This window comes from Homo sapiens, chromosome 18 (assembly GCF_000001405.40).
Source record: "Homo sapiens chromosome 18, GRCh38.p14 Primary Assembly".
Classification (NCBI taxonomy): Eukaryota; Metazoa; Chordata; class Mammalia; order Primates; family Hominidae; genus Homo; species Homo sapiens.
This window is the reverse complement of record NC_000018.10, coordinates 22,973,422-22,993,647: the sequence shown is the minus strand read 5'-3', so window position 1 is coordinate 22,993,647 and position 20,226 is coordinate 22,973,422. Positions and strand designations below refer to the sequence as shown.

The 20,226-nt window shown below is 36.9% G+C and overlaps 1 protein-coding gene across 14 annotated transcripts in view, besides 1 other annotated feature; it reads right to left on the bottom strand.

Moving 5' to 3' along the window:
* Positions 1 to 20,226, bottom strand: part of RBBP8 (RB binding protein 8, endonuclease) — a 112,348-nt gene that overhangs the window by 32,839 nt on the left and 59,283 nt on the right. For all 14 annotated transcript variants that reach the window (XM_047437728.1, XM_006722519.3, XM_011526132.3 and 11 more), the window contains 6 exons: positions 18,429 to 18,495; positions 11,255 to 11,430; positions 8,658 to 8,762; positions 4,330 to 4,427; positions 2,599 to 2,711; positions 9 to 900 (listed from right to left, as the gene is read on the bottom strand). In XM_047437728.1, coding sequence (XP_047293684.1) covers positions 9 to 900; positions 2,599 to 2,711; positions 4,330 to 4,427; positions 8,658 to 8,762; positions 11,255 to 11,430; positions 18,429 to 18,495 — 1,451 coding nt within the window. The remainder of the gene's footprint in view (positions 1 to 8; positions 901 to 2,598; positions 2,712 to 4,329; positions 4,428 to 8,657; positions 8,763 to 11,254; positions 11,431 to 18,428; positions 18,496 to 20,226) is intronic.
* Positions 17,836 to 18,036: a silencer, noted in NCBI's record as "peak3069 fragment used in MPRA reporter construct". NCBI's record gives its function as "represses an SCP1 promoter by STARR-seq MPRAs in K562 erythroleukemia cells {active_cell/tissue: K562}" and the evidence as "EXISTENCE:reporter gene assay evidence [ECO:0000049][PMID:32103011]".

The following is a 20,226-nucleotide window of genomic DNA, read 5'->3' as shown; positions in this document are numbered from 1 at the left end:
ACACAAACCTTTATGTCATCTAAAACATTCTCAGTCTCCAAACTTTCACGTGGACGTAGAGGAATTTTAAAGACAGCATTTTCTTCTTTTATTTGTAATGATGGTTTATTGTCTGGAGAGCATTTATTCAAGGGCTGAAGGATGATGCATTCCTGTGAACAGGGCTCCCCTGGGGAATCTTTGGGCAACGTGCAGTTGCCATCTGAGGCCTTACGGCTTGAGGAAAAGCCCTTTGGAATGGTCTTCAAAGCCTCATAAAGAGTCACTTGCCTAAATTTGTTTTTAGAAGTCTCACTTCCTTGGCTTTTCTCTTGACGCTGAATAGCTGAAAATCGATCAGACAGATCCAGAGGTTTATCCATCACACAGTCTCCATTCATGGAAAACTGATTATCCATTGGAAAAGGGAAAGCATTTTCTTTATCAAAAGAAGCTTGGGGGCAGCTTACTTCATGTTCACTTTCTTCCTCAGTTTTCTTCCTTTTGGATGTTCGGCCTCCCAATGATTTCAGGGGCTCCAAATGTTTATCAGTGTTAGAATCTTTACCGTACTCAGTCCTATTCTGTTCACCTAGGGATTCACTTATATTTTTATTTATAAGTATCTGTTTATTAGATGACTGGATAATGATCTTGTTCACTTCAGACCCAAGACTGTGATGTGTGAAAAGGGCACTATCTTCAGATTTTGATCTAGTTTTTTCTAATCTAGATATACAAGTGTTGCTAAAAGGGAGTGTTTTCAGATGTTTTTTTTTCCCAGGCTGTAAAAGAGAAGGGGACAAACTTGTATTCAAATCTAAACCACTTTTGATACTAGAGGTAGCTCCAAATACAGGAGATGACACTCGAGTAGGTAATTCTTCTTGAGGAGGAGTCTTTGAAGTAGAATCTGAAAATCTAAATAAAGAGTGATAACAATTCTTTAATACAGAATTAATAGTAAGGTCTTATCTACCTCTTAGAAGCAAATGATTAACCAAAATTTAAGACAAGGTACAGCTTTTGGCTTCTCTTCATTTAGATGACAAAAGAGAAGGGGAAAAGCAGAGGAAAATGACATAGGAAGTATTTCTCAACACCATAATATTCATATTTTAAAAATTTTTCCTAAGTACTTTAAATAACTTTATTATACAAAAAATCATCTTTTGCCAGGCGCAGTGGCTCATGCCTGTAATCCCAGCACTTTGGGAGGCCAAGGTGGGCAGATCACTTGAGGCCAGAAGTTCGAGGCCAGCCTGGCTAACATGGTGAAACCCCATCTCTACTAAAAATACAAAAATTAGCCGGGTGTGGTGGCACACGCCAGTAATCCCAGCTACTCTGGTGGCTAAGGCACGAGAATCACTTGAACCTGGGAGGTGGAGGTTGCAGTGAGCTAAGCCTGGGTGACAGAGTGAGACTCTGTCTCAAGAAACAAACAAACAAAAATCATATTTTAATAAATTCCACTGAGAACCTAAGTTCTTTTGTTACGACATTTGATCATGAGTAACTCCAAGAAACAAAATTCTTACACTACAGAATTGAACATAAATTAAGATTCAGCCTGTCTCTAGCAGAGGAAATATGCGTAGAAAGAGCAGTAAGTTTGAAGATGTGGGCTGGGTAAGATCTCTGGCTCTACCACTTAATAGCTATGTGGCCTGAAACAAGACATTTAACCTTTCTGGAGCTGTATTTTTGTAATCTGTAAAATAAACCCAAAAATTAGGGTAACAAAATCTACTTTAATCAGTTACTAAGATGACAGACTGTGATATACATATATAGATAGATAGATATCTATATATCTAAAAACTGAAAGCTCTTTTAAAAAGCAAAATGCTATATAAATACAGGTACAGTGGCCCTCCTTATCTGTGGGTTCTGCATCTGTAGATTCAGCCATGTGGCTAGAAAATAATTTGGGTAAAAAATCCAAATTTCACAACATTCCAAAAGGCAAAACTTGAATTTTCCATGTGCCAAGTACTATGTTGAATCTTTGCAAATGGATTGATATGTAGGCATTGTATTAGGTATTATAAATAATCTGGAAATTACATAAAATATACAGGAGGATATGCACAGGTTATATGCAATAATGATGGCCATTTTATGTAACGGACTTGAGCATCTTTGGATTTTGGTACCCATGGGGGAGGGGGTCCTATAACTAATCCCCCACTGATATCACGGAATGGCTGTATTATTAGTTAATAGGTATTCTGAAATTAGTAAAAATGAGATGCAACACAATCTTGGAAGCTCATCCAAGCTTCTAGATGCATTTTGTAGAACATCCAGTTTTGGGAAATATAAACCCCGAAGGGATGACTGGCTCTTTAAAGGAGCAGAGTGACAAGTACTGGGAACAAGTACTGCTTGACAGAAACACAGAAAGTAGCTAAAAATGATATCCACCTTTCTACTGTAATGCAAAAAAGCTCTCAATTGGTCAGAAACTAGGGAGACAATTTTTAAAGTAAACATTTATATAACCACAATAACAAACTATATGTTGAAGGAGAGAAATGGCTTAATTATATGAAATTCATTGTAATGGGATCTCACCAATAGCTTATCAGTTTTCACCAACGTGCCCTTAATTACCTTAAACTATCTTCAGTATTTCTTGTAGATTCCTCAAAAGGCTGTTTCTTGTGATTTCCTTCCAGACAGTGGTAGAGCTCATCACCAAGGGGGCTCATGGGACCTTGAGTTTCCTTCAAGAGTAAAATATGAAGCACATCCATGTAATGGGATTTGTTCATTCTTAAAAAGGGATGAAGTACTGATATATGTTATGATGTAGATGAACCTCAAAAATATACTAAGAAGCCAGACAAAGGCCACATAATGTATGATTCCATTTATATGAAATATTCAGAATAGGTAAATCTCTAGGGACAGAAAGCAGATTGGAAGTTGCCAGAGGATGCAAGTGGGAGGTGGAAGAATGAGGGGAGGAGAATGGGGATACATGATTAATGGGTATGAGGTTTTCTTTGAAGGTGATAAAAATGCTTTGGAACTGGATAGAAGTGATAGCTGCATAATATTATGAATGTACTAAATATCACTGAGTTGTACACTTCAAAATAATTAATTTATGTTATGTTAATTTCACCACAATGAAAAATATGAAGCACTTTTTAAGTTTAAAGAGAAAAGCCTCAATGTTTTACACAAGTATATTCTACTCCTTGTATATAAAACTCCAATTCCAAAAAACAACATTAAGATGAGGGGAAGGGAATAGAGATAACTATTCATACTGATAGGAGATGAATTTAAAATAATCCTTTAGAGAACAGTGCTTCTCAATCTTTAACATGCATACAAGTCAACTGGAGATTTTGTTACAATGCAAGTTCAGTAGGTCTGAGATTCTGCATCTCTACCAAACTTCAAAACTGATGCAGATGCTATTGGCCCATGGATCACACGTCAAGCAGCAAGTCATTAGATTTCAGCTCCCTTAATCTATTTGGTGTCTAAGCTGTGACTTGCCAGGTTTATGGGTAGGGGGGAATTAGAAACTATTAAAACACATTCAAAGTTCAAAGGTTAAAAACTACCCATTATCATTTAAGAATGAATTTAAAACTAGAAAGGACAAAAAAATCTATATGTAATGAAAAACTAATTCAATTTTTAGAAATTCAACAGCAAGACAACTTAATAAGAGTACAGCTGGATGTGGTGACTCACACCTGTAATCTCAACACTTTGAGAGGCTGAAGCAGGAGGATCTCTTGAGGCCAAGTGTTTGAGATCAGCCTGGGCAACACAGTTGAGACCCCCATCTCTACAAAAAAAATTAGCTAGGCATAATGGTATATGTCTGTAGTCCCAGCTATTTGGGAGGCTGAGATGGGAGGATCACTTGAGGCCAGGAGTTTGAAGCTATAGGGCTCCATGACTGTGTCTGTGAATAGCCACTGCACTCCACCCTGGGCAACACAATGAGATCCTATCTCTAAAAAACAAAACAAAACAAAACAACAATTCTGAAATCAACCTGAAGGTTTAGGTCTTCTCTTAGATGAGGGCAGGGAGGGGGCATGAGAGAGGGGGAAGGGAAGAAAGTTGACAAAATCTCTATGCCATAATTACTCCCCTAAATTTTGACTCAACCCATATCCCAAGAATTCTAGATTCTACATTTCTGAGACTGCTGGGCTGGACAACAGAAATAGGACTTTCTAACAATGTAAGTTTTGTTTCAGGCCTTTACCCAAGATCTTTAGATAGAACAATTCTCTTGCTTAATTCTCTAAGAACTGACCTAAAAAGACATAAAATTAATTCATGTTATTGCCAAACTAAACAATTACTTACAGATTCTTCTTGAACACCAAGTCCAAGTGTTTCAGCAACAACTGTAGCTAAATTAAAAGATGACTTATCAGGGGTATAGCTGCTTGTTCCATGTGCTTCTAAGAATAAATAATAAACCATTTTAATAAATAATAAAACCAATTTTACAAAACTGTAGAAGCTAGACACATTAAAATGACAAAAGATGAAGGAAAAGGCTCACACTTCATAAGATGGCACTAGACACATTTTAAAATTCTGTGCAAAAAGTCCAAAATACCTACCATAAATGGCAATAAGTTGCAGGTCTATGCGTGCTAAAATTTTTCAAGTAAATTTTATGTTTTTCCTAAATGAACTGAATGCAATAGGTAGATAATTTTTCTTATTGCCACTGGGGAAAAAAATCTTAAAATGGATTTACAGTGGAATTATTGTGACTTATGTTACAGCATGAATATCAAACTATATTTACGCTCTCTTTCATGAAAACATACTTTGTAGGAGAGGTTGTCAGCACTGCATGTTTCAGGTTAAGCTAACACATATTCATAAATCACCTATGTTCTAGTATTTTATAAAGGTTAACTCAAATATTTATGGAGCACTTATTATGTTCCAGGTATTGTGCTAAGCAGTAGATGAAAAGAAAAAGTTCTTGTTCTCAAGGAGCTTATATAGTTGAAAGGTAAAAAGAGAACTGCAATAGAATGTGATAAACATTATAATAAAGGTACATAAAAGGGGTGATTTAAACACAGAATAAGGACTCCTAAATCTCTTCTGGGAAATCAAGGAAAGTTACAAGTGATGCCTAAGCTGACTCGAGAGAAGGAAGAATATGGCAAGTTAACTGGACTGGGGACAGAAAGTAGAATTCTAGGTATAATTAAGGGTCTAGAAAGTGAAACAAAATTGCTTGTTCAGGGAACTACGCGTGGTTTGACTGCTAGAAGTCAAACTACAGAAGATGGGAGTAGGACATGAACCCAGTTAGGTTGGTTAGGGGTCAGGTTATGCTAAGGAGTTTCAAATTTATCCTGTAGACAATGAAGAGATATCTAAGAGTTTTAAATAAAACAAATGCAATGTGTGGGCTGAAAAGGTATTAGTGGCTGTGACACACTCATTAGGCAAGAAGCAATCACTAATAGGCAAGAGGACTAATTAGATTACTAGAACATGTTGTCTTGATGAGAGATGCTAGTAGCCTAAACTAGTATAATAGGGGCACAGAAGAATATGTAAAACAGATATGCAGGAGGTGGAATCAGTAAGACTTAGAGGCTGTTTAGCAAAAACAGATGAAGCAGAAATCTAGGATGACTCAAAGAGGCATGTATAGTGTCATTCACTGAGATTGCAAATGCAAGGATGAAGAGTTGGTTTGACAGGTTAACTGTCAACTGTAGACATGCTGAAGTTGAAGGATATCCCTGTAGAGGTATCCAACAGCAGGTAGATACATTGGTTGGGAAACCAGGAAAAAAGTCGGACAGAGATACAGGTTTGGGATTTATTAGTGTATGAGTCAGAGAAGACTACTGACTGCAGGTGACATTCCTCCAGGAAGAGAGAGAAAGTGAAGCCGGGTACAGTGGTTCACGCCTGTAATCCCAACACTTTGGCAGGCTGAAGCAGGTGGAGCCTGCTTGAGACTAGGAGAGCAAGACCAGCCTTGGCAACATGGTGAAACACTGTTCTACAAAAATACAAATATCAGCCAGACATGGTGGTGTGTGCCTGTAGTCTCAGCTTCTTGAGGGGCTGAGGTGGGAGGATCACTTGAGCCTGGGAGGTTGAGGCTGCAGTGAGCTGTGTTTGTGCCACTGCACTCCAGCCTGGGTGACAGGGACAGACCCCGTCTCAAAAAATAAATAAATAAATAGAGAGACAGAAATAGAACAGGCACAGTACCATATATTTTGGAGAAGAGCAACACTGACGACGTTTACAGTCAGAATCAGTTCCAGTGTAAGGAGTAAGAAAGGGTTTGTGAATGCATTCTCCTCTCTTCAATCCCTGTAAGTCTCCCTCCCTACCTTCCCCTGTACCCCACTCCTCTAGCACTTTTCTCTCTCCTCCCTTCCTCCTTCCCTCCCCCTTCCCTCTCTCTTGCTCTCTCCTCCTCTCTTGCAGGTGGGGGTTGGGGAATAGAATCCATATTACAGTGAGTTGGAGTGAATGGGAATTAGTAAAGTAGAGATATTGAGTATAGACTATTAATACTTTTTCACCTCTGAAGAGAAGCTGTAGCTAAAGGTGGAGATTATTAAAAGGGGGATTATTTTTTAAAGATGGAAGATAACATATATGTGTATATACTTAAGAATAAGCCAGCAGAGAAGCTGCAGATACTGTATAAGGAAGATAGGACAAATAATGGAGCAAAGACCTGGCAGCAGCAGAACAGAATTGGTTCTAGAGAGCTGAGAAGCAAGGATCTGCCACCCTCTGTGTTGTATCCCTAGCACCCTTTGCTGGACCCTGAGCCTCCATGCACATGCACACATACTCATGGACAGACAAACAGACACACATGTTAATATAAAATGATTTGTAGCTTTCAGTATGTAACTTTTACACTATTATAAAATGAATAAGTGATTAACCTTGACCAACCCTCCCAACTGGGCTCTGGATCTCATCTCCTCTGACCTTTTTAAGGATGTAGCAATTGTTCCCTCTTTCTCCAGAATTATTAATTTTCTCCTATTTACTTGATCATCCTATCAACATAAATAAATGCCGATCATGCTATAATATTCCATCTTGAAAAAAAATCCTCCCTTGACCCATGTTCTTCTTTAGCCACTGTCCTGTTCTCTCCTCCTCTTTACTGCAAAATGTCTTGGGAGTACTTGTTTGTGTGTGCTCTTTCCACTTTCTCTGTCCTTAGTTTCCTTTGAACATGAGACCGATCTCAGATGGTCACCATTACACCTTAACAATTTTTATCATGTTACTAGTTTAACACTCAATGATCTACATGCAACCAAATCTCATGGTCAATTCTAAGAAGTCTTCATCTTACTTGACTTATTAGCATTGTTAAACACAGTTGATCACCTCTTCGTCCTCTCTCCACTTGGCTTAAAGGACATCATTTTTAGTTTTCCTATCTCATTGGCAGCTCCTTCTCTGTTTTGTTGGTTCCTACTCATTTTCGCAACCTCAACAGCTACAGTATTTTCTCTAAGGGGGTGAAAAATGGTTCGGGGCAGGGGGGAGCAAAAAAAACCTTACTATGTATAAAGCACAGACATACATGCATACACGTATCACCTAAACAGATATACAGTAGATCTGCAGTAATAAAATTCCAGCAGGGAAGGGACTGGGGGGAGGGGGGAAATGTCTAAAAATGCTGGGGTGGGGGTTGTTCAACAAAAGAAAAGTTGAAAATCATGACTTTACATAATGAAGTTCCCCAAGGCTCAATACTTGGACTTCTTCTTATCCCCATCTATTATCACTTGCTTGGTAATCTCATCTAGTTTCATGGCTTAGATGCCATCTACCTGCTGATGACCTCCATATGTGTCTCCATCCTCAACTTCTCTAAATTCTAACTCACATCTACTCATGAATCCAAACTCTACCTGAATGTTGAGTTTGCATTTCAAACAGAATATTACCGAAACCAAACTTCTAATTTTAACCACCCCCGCCCCAACCTATACACCTGCGGCTCCCAGTCTTCCATCTCAGTAAATGGTAACTCTATTTTTCCTGTTGTCCAAACCAATCTCCCCTTTACTCACTCTGCTCCAGCCACACAGGGTTCCTTAATGTTCCTCAAACAAACCAAATGGCATCTTCACTGCAAAGCCTCCGGGCTTGCTAATTTCTCTGCCTGGGTGCCCTTCTCCCAGATAGCCACGTGACTCACTTCCCTCCCTCAGTCCCTATGCAAACATCACTTTACAAGTGAGGCTTTCTAATATCCCTTCTTACCCTGCTTTACTTTTCTTCAGAGCACTTGCTTCTATCTGACATAAATTTTATTTCTCCCTCAACTAGATCATAAGCTCCATGAGGACAAGGGCTTTGTTTTATTCAGTGCCTGGTATACAACAGATGCTTCAATATTTGTTGAACAAATAAGTAAATCACAGTAAAGCCTTCTTTACTTAAAATTATTAGTAATTTATATTAATATGATTAGGGATATTTATATGAATAGGATAACATTACTTTCCAATATGAAAAAGATAGTAAACTAGTAATATAAACAAAATTATATGGAAAATACCTTTAAAATATTGTCTAAGTTAGACTGTGGGTCACTGTTACCCACCAATAACCACAATTTTAAACTTGTAAAGTAATCTCAGTATCTTGCTTACTGGCCATTGGAGATTGACTTTGGTCATAAGTGTCAGCTACTAGAATTTCATTTTCATTAGGATTATGTTGTGGATGAGTTGAAGACTTGGAAACTTTTCTCATTTCTAAGGGGAGAAAAAAATAAGAGATTACACAATAAACAATGATGATGAAAAGCATTATCAAATTATTTTTATTTATTCATATTTAAAATTTTTATGTATTATCTGTATTTAAATCCAATATAAGTACTGTTTTATTGACATAATTATCATATTCTAAGAAGTAAGCTCCTTTAATTTCACTAAGAAACAAAGCTGTTTAAGTTAAGACATTGGGAGAGAGGGGACTAGAACAGACAGCTTCTTCTAACCCAAATTGCCTAGAGTAGTAACATTTTAGTGTTACTTCTCTTTTTATATTTGTTACAAATCAGCAGGTTAATTTAAAAAGGTATACTGGGCTGGGCACAGTGGCTCATGACTGTAATCTGAGCACCTTGGGAGGCTGAGGCAGGAGGATCTCTTGAGCCTAAAAGTTCCAGGCTGTAGTAAGCTACAGATCACACCACAGTACTCCACCCTGGATGACAGAGTGAGACCCTATCTCAAATAATCAATCAATAAACAAATGATCAATCAATCTAATGTATACTATATCATTTATCTCCATGATCTTTGTTTTAGAGTTTCTATTTTCGGGAAGGAAACTCTGAAGCATGCTTTATCAGAAATCACTCCAATATTTAAAGATTTAGTTCAAAGAAAACCAAAATAAGGACAAGGTAAAGTGAAATGGTTTTACTATTTATAACTTGAGAGTAATATTAAAAAGCATTATAAACCTTAAAATAAGCAAGCAAGGGAAGTTAGAGAACAGGACTAATTAGTCATTAAAGCATTTAAAATTATTATTATTATTATTATTTTTGAGATGGAGTCTTGCTCTGTTGCCCAGGCTGGAGTGCAGTGGCATGATCTCAGCTCACTGCAACCTCCACCTCCAGGGTTCAAGCAAGTCTCCTGCTTCAGCCTCTCGAGTAGCTGGGACTGCACGCGTGTGCCACCACGCCCAGCTAATTTTTTATATTTTTAGTACATACAGGGTTTCACCATGTTAGCCAGGATGGTCTCGATCTCCTGACCTCGTGATCCACCCACCTTGGCCTCCCAAAGTGCTGGGATTACAGGTGTGAGCCACCGTGCCCGGCCTTAAAATTATTTTAAAATCATTTGTATGGCTCAAGGTTATCGTACATCTTAAAACCAAATTTCAGATTCCAAGTAAAAAATGATCAGAACAAGGTTAAAGCAAGTGAATTAAATTTCTAAATAGTTACATGCTGCTTTCATACAAAGAAGAAATAAACCAGAAGCATTTATATTGGTTACAAAAGACTTTCCTAATATGGAATTGTTTTCTAGATATTCTTATTTGTGAATTTAAACCTGATGTAAATTATGCAGTGATTATCTTTAATGATTCATGTCCTGTCTGATAGCAAACTAAAAGGTCAACGGATATTCATTTTAGATCTATGATTTTACATTTTAACTTAGCTCCTATTTAAGTGTAGGATTTTTAACAGTTCTTTTGTTTTCCACTAGATGGTGATACAAACGCTTATAAAGTGGGGGAAAACTGTCAATGTTCCAACATCTAAGAATAAGATCTGCTTATTTGTTTAAAGGCATATTTACTGTCAACAATTTATTTGTATTATACAAATATAGTAGTACATATATATCCCCCGTCCCCCATGCTTTCCTTGTTGCAAATAGTTTAGGTTAAAAATTAAAGTCTTTACTGTTTGCTTTAGATTAATACTAAAAGTAATACTTGTATCATGGCACATAACAAATTTTGGGACTATGTGAAAAGACAGTTTTAAAGCATTTAGCAGAAATGATAAACTAGGCTGGAATTAGAAACATGTCACTGAAAAGCCACAAAGTGTACATATTATAACACCATTTCTTGATTACCACTAACTCCTACAAATTACAACAAATAAAAATAGCCAGTTACAGACAGCTCCAATGGCAGGAGTACCCATGTGGCAAGACCTGGAGAGTAGGAAAGTTCAGAGCTAAGAAGATCTGTATTTGAATTTTGACTCATCTACATAATAGCTGACCTTGAGTGAGTTAACCTTTCTAAACATATCTTTCCTCATCTATAAAACAAAAGAGCTGATAGTTATCTCACAAGCCTGTTACGAGAATTAAAACATAGCAATAATACATGCAAATCACTCAGCATAATACCTGGTACACAGGAGGTAGAAATTAACATTAAGTTCCTTTCCTTTTTCCTTCTATCCCACTTGGATATATACACATAGGAATATTTTTAAAATAAAAAGAAAAAAGAAACTATTTACTACATTTATAAAATATGGTATATTTACATGTCATATAGATGACACGTATCTATACATAACACGGGCAGAAAACGCCTTCTCAGTCACTTTACAAATAGAAGTTAAACTCATAGTTGTACCATGGGATACCAGAATAGTGACTATCTTCTTATCACTAGATTGAATAACATAAAAACTAGTAGATGAACACTGGTTTACAAAACCAGAGAACTAAAATACAACTCCAACTCTTACCATTTGCACACACAGAGTGCTCCAATTTAGTATGTGTTTGTTCTATGTATCGGACATGGGGGTTCTCCTTTCTTCGTAGCCGGTTAACGCCAGAAAATGAGAAGGCTGTTATCGGTGAATCTGGAATAACGTCTTCCTCACATTCAAGCTCAGCTGCTTGATGCTGTTGATCATTCCTAGAGAAGAATGACAATGGAAAGAAAATCAATTCAATGAGTATTAAAACATTTACTACATGGCATGGAGTTACAGTAGAACACAAACATGAAGCTCTAAGGGATGTAATCCCTTGCATCTAATGTTCCAAACCTAAGTAGATAAGTACACGAATGATTACAGTACCCAGTGGGAAATACTATGTGAGAAGTGAAGTAGAAAGTATAGTCAATAGCACTTCAGGTGAAATTAAAAGTATTTCAAATTGCAGACAAGATCAGGAGAGAACCCACAGTCTGAGGAAAGGCATGCAGTACTGTGTACTTATGTTGGAGAAGGGAAAGCTGGAATTACATGAACGAGAGCCATGAGCTCAATGTGCACATAATGTAGAAAGCAAGAGGAAAGAAATTAAGGTTTTAGAGCTTGGATATAATGTGACAATCTAACAGTATTGTGCAAGATTGGGACAGAAGGACAGGAGGCAAGGAAATCAATTAGTGGCTATAATAGTCCAGGCAAGCCGCTCTGTCTGCGGTCTGAACTAGAATATTTTAAGTACATATGGAAAGGAAAGAACGTTAAACATCATGGTAGTAGAATTAGCATGCTTGACAAATACAGGATGAGAACACTAACAATGATAACAACCAATTTTTGTTATGTGTTTACACTGCCCGGCACTATTTAAATTATGAGTTTAATTATCACAACTCTGTGAGGTATTACTACTTTCATTTTACAAATGAGGAAATGAAGATACAGAAGTCATTTACTAAAATAGTAACAGAGTCAGGATTTAAATCTCAGCAGTCAGACCCTAACAATAACACATTGTTAACCAAATGTGTTATCCATAGTCTACAAGAAGGCTTCAAAATTTGAGTTTCTGTTACTGCTTTTATCTAGGCCCCCTTATAGTCTACTCTCAACAACAGTCACAAGAGTCCTATTAAGAGATAAATTGGGGCCGGGCGCGGTGGCTCACACGTGTAATCCCAGCACTTTGGGAGGCTGAGACGGGCAGATCACAAGGTCAGGAGATCGAGACCATCCTGGCTAACACGGTGAAACCCTGTCTCTACTAAAAATACAAAAAATTAGCTGGGTGTGGTGGCAGGTGCCTGTAGTCCCAGCTCCCGGGAGACTGAGGCAGGAGAATGGCGTGAACCCAGAGTCGGAGCTTGCAGTGAGCTGAGATCGTGCCACTGCACTCCAGCCTGGGCAACAGAGCGAGACTCCGTCTCAAAAAAAAAAAAAAAAAAAAAAAAAGACATAAGTGGCTCACACCTACAATTCCAGCACTTTGGGAGGCCCAGGCAAAACCCTATTGCTACGTACAAATATATTAAAAAATTTGCCAGGCGTGGTGGCACACACCTGTAGTCTCAGCTACTTGGGAGGGTGAGGTGGGAGGGTTGCCTGAGCCCAGGAAGTCGAGGCTGCAGTGAGCTATGATCATGCCACTCCACTCCAGCCTCGGCAACACAGTGAGACCCTGTCTCCAAAAAAAAAAAAAAAAACCCCAAAAAGACTTAAGTCATATGGATGAAATCTCATGAAAACCCTGTCACATCTGCTCATTTCACTGAGAACACAAGCCAAAGTCCTTTGATCCATGAAGATCCTACATGACCTGATGGTGCCCCTCCCATTTTTCCTCTCTGACCTTTTTTCCTATTATACTCTACTCCTGCCACACTCTCTTCCTTGAGGTTCCCCAAACACACCAAGCATACTCCCACCTTAGGTTCTTTGCACCAATTGTTCCACCTGCTTGGAATGCTCATCCCCAGATACCTACATACCTAATTATCTCTCTAATCTCCTTCAAGTCTGCTGGAATTTTACCGTTTAAAATTGCAACCTCCCTTCACACACCCTAGTACTCCTGTTCCCTGTTATTCTGCTCTATAAACTTTATCCACAGCATTTACTGCTTTTTAACATAGTATGCAATTTACTCATTTTTATTTATTTAGATTTTTTTTTGAGTCTGAGTCTTGCTCTTTTGCCCAGGCTGGAGTGCAGTGGTCCAATCTCGGCTCACTACAACCTCTGCCTCCTGGGTTGTAGTGATTCTAGTGCCTCAGCCTCCTGAGTAGGTGGGATTACAAGCGTGCAACACCATGCCTGGCTAATTTTTGTATTTTTAGTAGAGACAGGGTTTCACCACGTTGGCCAGGCTGGTCCCAAACTCCTGACCTCAAGTGATCCACCCGTCTCGGCCTCCCAAAGTGCTGAGATTATAGGCGTGAACCACGGCGCCCAGCTGCAATTTATTTATTGTATCTATTGCTCACCTGTTAGAATATAAGTTCTAAGAGGATGGGATCTTTGGTTAACCGATGAATCACAAGAGCCTACCACAGTAGACATACAGTAGGTATGGCGTAAACATTTGTTGAGTGAATAGGAGACATTCCCAGATTCCACTAGAGAATAAATTTGTGTGGATCTAGGCATATGTTCTTGCCCAACTCAATTCAGGATCAACTGTAACTGAAAGATTGGGTTTGAATTGAATTGTGAATGTTGAGTAAAAATAAAGTTAATTGACTTTCCCATGTCAAACCATTACTGACCTTATTTGCCAACCAATTGTTACCAGTCTGTCAGACATTTAGGCTTTACATGACCAAATCAGTCTGTCCTATTAGACTCGTATCAACTTGCAATACTATTTCCAAATAAAAGCTTATATAGTGAGAACTGTATGAACTATGACCAACAGAGATTTTTAAGAAACATTAATTGGAAGACAAAGACTAATTTTTCCCAAAAAAGATTTACACTTTAATTTCCTGAATGATACCAATATTATTTGTAGGCTTTAATCCTACATTTTATACCAAGGAACAATCTTTAGAGCTAATGTCTAATTATTTAAAATTTTTTAAATTTTAAATAAAATAAACATAAACATAAAATAAAATAAACATAAAATTATTTAAAATTTTATTTTATGTTTTTGAGACGGAGTCTCCTTCTGTTGCCCAGGCTGGAGTGCAGTGGTGCGATCTCAGCGCACTGCAACCTCTGCCAGGTTCAAGTGATTCTTGTGTCTCAGCCTCCCGAGTAGCTGGGACTACAGCTGCGCGTGCAACCATACCTGGCTAGTTTTTGTATTTTTAATGGAGACAGGGTTTTACCATGTTGCCCAGGCTGTCTCAAACTCCTCACCTCAAGTGATCTGCCCACCTTGGCCTCCCAAAGTGCTGAGACTACAGGCATGAGCCACTGTGCCCAGCCAAATTTTATTTTTAATTGACAAATAATAATTGTATCTACTTACTGGGTTCAACAAAATGTTTTGATACATGTTTACAGTGTAGAATGATTAAATCAAGCTAATTAACATCTATCACTTCACACACTTATCTTTTTTTTGTAGTAAAAACATTTAAAATCTACTTGGCAGTTCTGAAATATACAATCATTATTAAGTCACCATTCTGTGCAATAGATCTGATATCTAATTTTTTAATCTCTTCCTGTAATTTTCTTATTCTGGAAAAACAGTAAGTTAAAGTCATATGAGAAAGGCTTATAAATTAATGGAGTGTGAAATCTATCTGACCTAGCTTTAACTAATCACGTCACAGCCTGCTTGCCTATTAGTCATAAAAATTCCACCTGAAACATGAATGAGTCACGAGAAGCAATTGATTTCCTGGCAGAGTCAATGTGGAAGAAGCTGGGATCACAAAAGGAAAAAACAAAAAAACAAACAAAACTAGCTCTAACTAGAGGTGCCCAAACTAAGTAAATGAGTGCTGGCTTTGTCTTCCTTTGTCATAAAAGGAAAAAACAAAACTCCATATGTTAACCAAGTTCATCCTTTAAAACACTAGTCTCACTGATTTTCTGAGAGAAAGAGTTCACGTCACAGCTTTTGGTTAAATTAATTATGCACACTTGTCCTCCTTTCACTTTTCCTTCTGATGGCTTGAGCTGTTTGATTTATGGACCTCTGCTCCCTCTTAAACTCCTGTCAAAACTGTTTTAGTTGGTTTCTTCCCTAAAGACCTATAATTATGGATCTGGGGTTTCCCTTCATGAGTCTGTAAAAAAGTTTTAAATATTCAGCTTTTTTCCTTTTCTACTCTGAAGAACTTACATTTCCAGTTAAAACATAATTTAAACTTAACGAAGTAACATTATAGCCATTGTAGGGGAGGTGGCAGTACTGCTCCACTGATCAGGCTATACCTAGAATATTGATTTCTTAATTCAGATATTGACGAACTAAAACATTTTTAAAAATTCACAGTTTGAAGAGTTGAAGTAATGCCACATGAATGAACAGAGGATATTTAATGCCACAGTTAATGAACAGAGGATATTTACTCTAGAGAAAACAAGACTCAGGAGGGCCATGATAGCTGTCTTCATGTATCAAAAGAGTCGTCAAGTAGCACAGGAGAAGAGACTTGCTTAAGATGGTCCTGGAAGGCAGTCATAATCAAGAAATATAACTTATAAGCAGTGTAATTTCTATAAACTTAGAATTTTCTAATAATTTTGTCTCACTAAATTTAAATAGGCTTGGGAAACAGTAAACTTCTACTAGACGTGTTCAAACAATAGCTATTTGTTAAAGAAGCTGTATAAGGAATTCAATTTAGAAGAGGGTTGAATGCAATGAGTTCTACAGTCCTTTGAACTCTTACGTGTATAGACTCCCTTGACTTTCACTGACCCATCACATCTATTTTCTAAAACGAAAAGAATGATGACCTCAATACCTAGCTTTATACACATTTTTAACTTTATAGTGGCAAAATTTTACTGAATAATTTTGGTGTCACTAATAACTGCCCTATCATATAAGCCATCTTGTAACATCAAAACTAGCTCAGAAGAGTTAGAGTTACTGCATTTAACAAGCAGAAGTCAAATAATATTTTCTTCTAAAGTTCAGGGAAATTTCAGGCACAAATAGCATAATATGACAGTGGTTTAGGTGATCAGAGAAAATTAGGTTGCCTTTACAAGATGATACTTGCTTTTTTAAAAACAAAACAAAACAAAACAAAACTGCTGAGCAAAATGCAATTTCTTTGCGACCAAGCTACAGAAGAAGTTGGTTCATGAGAATCACAACTATCTTATATTTCAGAAGAGAATAAAAGACACAATCAGATCATCTCCTATACTCTTTTGACTAAGCATGTCCTAAATAAACATACATGCCTTAAGCTCATCTATATGATTACTCTTTCCTGTAATTTCAAACTTTAGCCTTCACTTCTTTTCTAAAATTTGAATTTCAACAGGAAAAATGCATGTGCTTGAGAACACTAAAAATAAATTCTAAACTAATTAGAATTCATATTTCTACCAAGCAAATGACACGATATAGTTTCAACCTAACTTATACACATTGGTTTTTGAGGCAATCGTCTATCTAATTCTGTGTTAACTTCTACACACTTGGTATCTCATCCCTTTGGTACTCATAAAGATCAAGGCTGATGTGTTCAAAATACCATAAGCTACGTACATACATAATCACTTCACATAAATTAATGTAGGTCAACAATCACTTATCTAAAATCCTTGGAACCAGACGGGATTCCAAATTCATATTTTTTAAAAAAAATGAAAGTAATACAGTAATACAGAACATATATACATAATTACATAACAGCTCCAGTGGAGTCTGAAGCATCATCCTGTAATCAAACACATTGATATTTTCACAGCAAAACATATGAATACTCACATGAAGTGGGATAAAGACTATAAACAGCATTCTGCCATTGCAGTGAGGTTAGGTTGTGAACAACATTTCAAAAATAACCTTTTGGGTTTTGGAATTCTATGTAACAGATTGTGGATCTGTGTCCTGTGTTCTCTCTTCATTATACAGCATTATTAAAATTAGAAAGTGTTGACATTTTCTTACAAACATTTTATAACATCAGTCTGATCTCATAGGTTCCTTTCCTCATCTGACTATTATTTCTCCTCAAAATTCCCTTTGGCTATCAGTATTCAGTAGACCAATCACATGGGAGGAATATCAGAATTCTATTGGATATCCATTATCCTAAAAGTATACCAGTAAGAATGATAATTCTACTTGTGAGATGTGTTCATACAAAAATAACTATTCTAAGCCAAAATAATGTTACATCTACATAGTTTTACTGAAGTTTTTGTAGATGTCTACTTAAACGCAACAGGATCTTTAGGAACGCTATAACGCCATTAGGATTATCCTGAATCCTAAGTTTTCAAAAATAGTATATAAGCTTTATATAAATGGGAACTAAAAGTTAGTCATATCTCTGCTCTGCTCTGCATTAGTCAGATCATATCTAGAAAAATATTCTTCTTTTGAGACAGTGTTGGATAATGGAAAGAAAAGAGGCTTTTCAGAAAAAATATGGGTCTGAGTGACAGTCCTATTACCTACCAGCTGTAAGACGACAGGCAAGTTATTTGACTGTGACCTTTGGTTTCCCCATTTGTAAAGTGGGGATAATAAAACTACTTTGCAAAGTCACAGTGAGAATTAGAAATAATAAACATAAAACACAAGAGGAAGTGGCACACAAGATAAAAGTTACTGGTTTTATTCTTTAAGAGAAATGGGGAGAAAAGGGAGAAAAACAGAGGAAGGAAGAAGTTCTACAGGCCTGAGTACTATATAAGAGGAAACACTTATTCAGTTTGCCCTTATGAAGCTTCTGGGACAGGGCTGGAAGGGAGCTAACAAAACTCAAACATCTGTTTGAAATATAAGTATTTTAATAATGTATTATTTATAATAAATCATTATAAAAATTAAAATGTTTTAATTACAATGTTGACACTTTCTTCAAGCACTAATCTAAGAGATGCATTCACACTATACTCTCAAAACACAAAAATGTAGTGATTTTCTTTGTATTTTTTAACTACAGAACACTTCATAATTTTTAAAATGAAATCTGCAACTCTTACAGTTATCTTCATGGTTTGTATAGCTAAATAAAATAAAATAACAAGGTTGGAGGAAAATACTTACTCAATTTTCTGCTGGAGTTGTTCAGAAAGCTTTTTATTTTCTTCCTGTAGAGTATTCCTTTCATTCACTTAAAAACAATGTGAAAAAGAAGGCAAATAATATATTTATATTAACATCTATGTTAGGCTTTCAAATAAAATATGTCAGCATGTATGAAGAAATTAGTACTTCTAATCCTAAATCATAATGTTTATTCAGGGTTAACACTAGTGTGCGCAAAACTAATTCGTTACTAGGTAGGGAGTACTACATCTCACACCGTGCCAGTTCCATGTAACTGATTAACTGATAATTTTATGTAATGCTTGCAGGCAAAAGAGGGTACTTCATGTACTAGGGAGTATAATTATACATACTGAGGACAAGAAAGCATTCCATCTGGTTACTCAGTCCTACTAATTTCAAATACCATTTTAGCAAGAGTCTCTATCTTGAAATTAATTTGATCATAAAAATAAAATAGGCCAGGCGCAGTGGCTCACAGCTGTAATCCCAGCACTCAGAGGCGGAGGTGGGTGGATCATTTGAGGTGAGGAGTTCGAGACCAGCCTGGCCACCATGGTGAAACCCCGTCTCCACTAAAAACACAAAAATCAGCCGGACATGGTGGCGCATGCCTGTAATCCCAGCTATTCGAGGTGGAGGCAGGAGAATCATTTGAACCTAGGACGCTGAGGTTGTAGTGAGCCAAAATAGTGCCACTGCACTCTAGCCTGGGTGGCGGAGAGTCTCAAAAACAAAACAAAACAAAACAAAAAAACACCAAAAACGCTGAATATCAGTGTAATTTTTATAACAAGCACATTTATCAAATCAAATTTTCTTCTTAGTCATACTCTAGGTTTCATGAATAATTATGGTTATCAGTAACTTAAATATATCCATTGAAGAGTATCTGTTTGTTTGAATCTCCACCAAATTTTCCTATCTGTATTTATTTAATTTGTAAAGCAGAAATCCAGTTTTGGGCTGTAACTTCTACTGGAACCAGCATAAAACTCTCATCAATGCTTAGTATGATGTCACTGGTTAAGCATGTGTTTTAGCAAAAGAAGTGGATCCCAGAAATCAGGTCACAGTAAATACAATCAACTTTCACCAAAGAAGGTTAATTGTACTCTAAAATTTGTTAATAATTTAGTGGTTTATAAATCTAAACATATTTTCTTACACTGAGTAAATTTTCTGGACTATCTACAACATGTGAGGTTATTAAACTACTTTCGTGGAGGATCCAAAAAAATTAAGATATAGACAGTGACCTAAAGCAATGTGCAGTCTAACAAAGGAGACAAGATACTACATAAACATGTTTTATAGGTTTAAAAGTGACAAGGGCAATCGAGAAGTACAAATAAAGTACTAAGGAAATTTCCAAGGAGAAAGAGGTTACTTTGGGCCCTTGAGAAGATCAGGAAGGCATTCATCAAAAAAAGGGCAACTGAGCTGGACAGGAGATTATTCTACAGAGAGAATCAGTGGAACAAAGACTGGGTATAATAAACGGTAGAAAGTTTTCAATAGCAGGTTAAGAAATTAAAACTTTATCTTATAGATTACCAGGAATCATTTTTTATAGATGAATGATGGGAAGACTGATTTGTTAGTACATATAGCATATACCAATGTGAGAAGAAAGTATTGACAAGACAAAAAGTCAGGTGGTCATTAAAAGAAATGAATATCTGGACCTATGTAGAGGTGGATAAACAGGAAGTAAAGACCAGTAGAAGAACTGTAACAGAGGCAGAATCATAGTATTTGGCAACTCATCCTTTGTAGGGTTCACAGAAGTCAA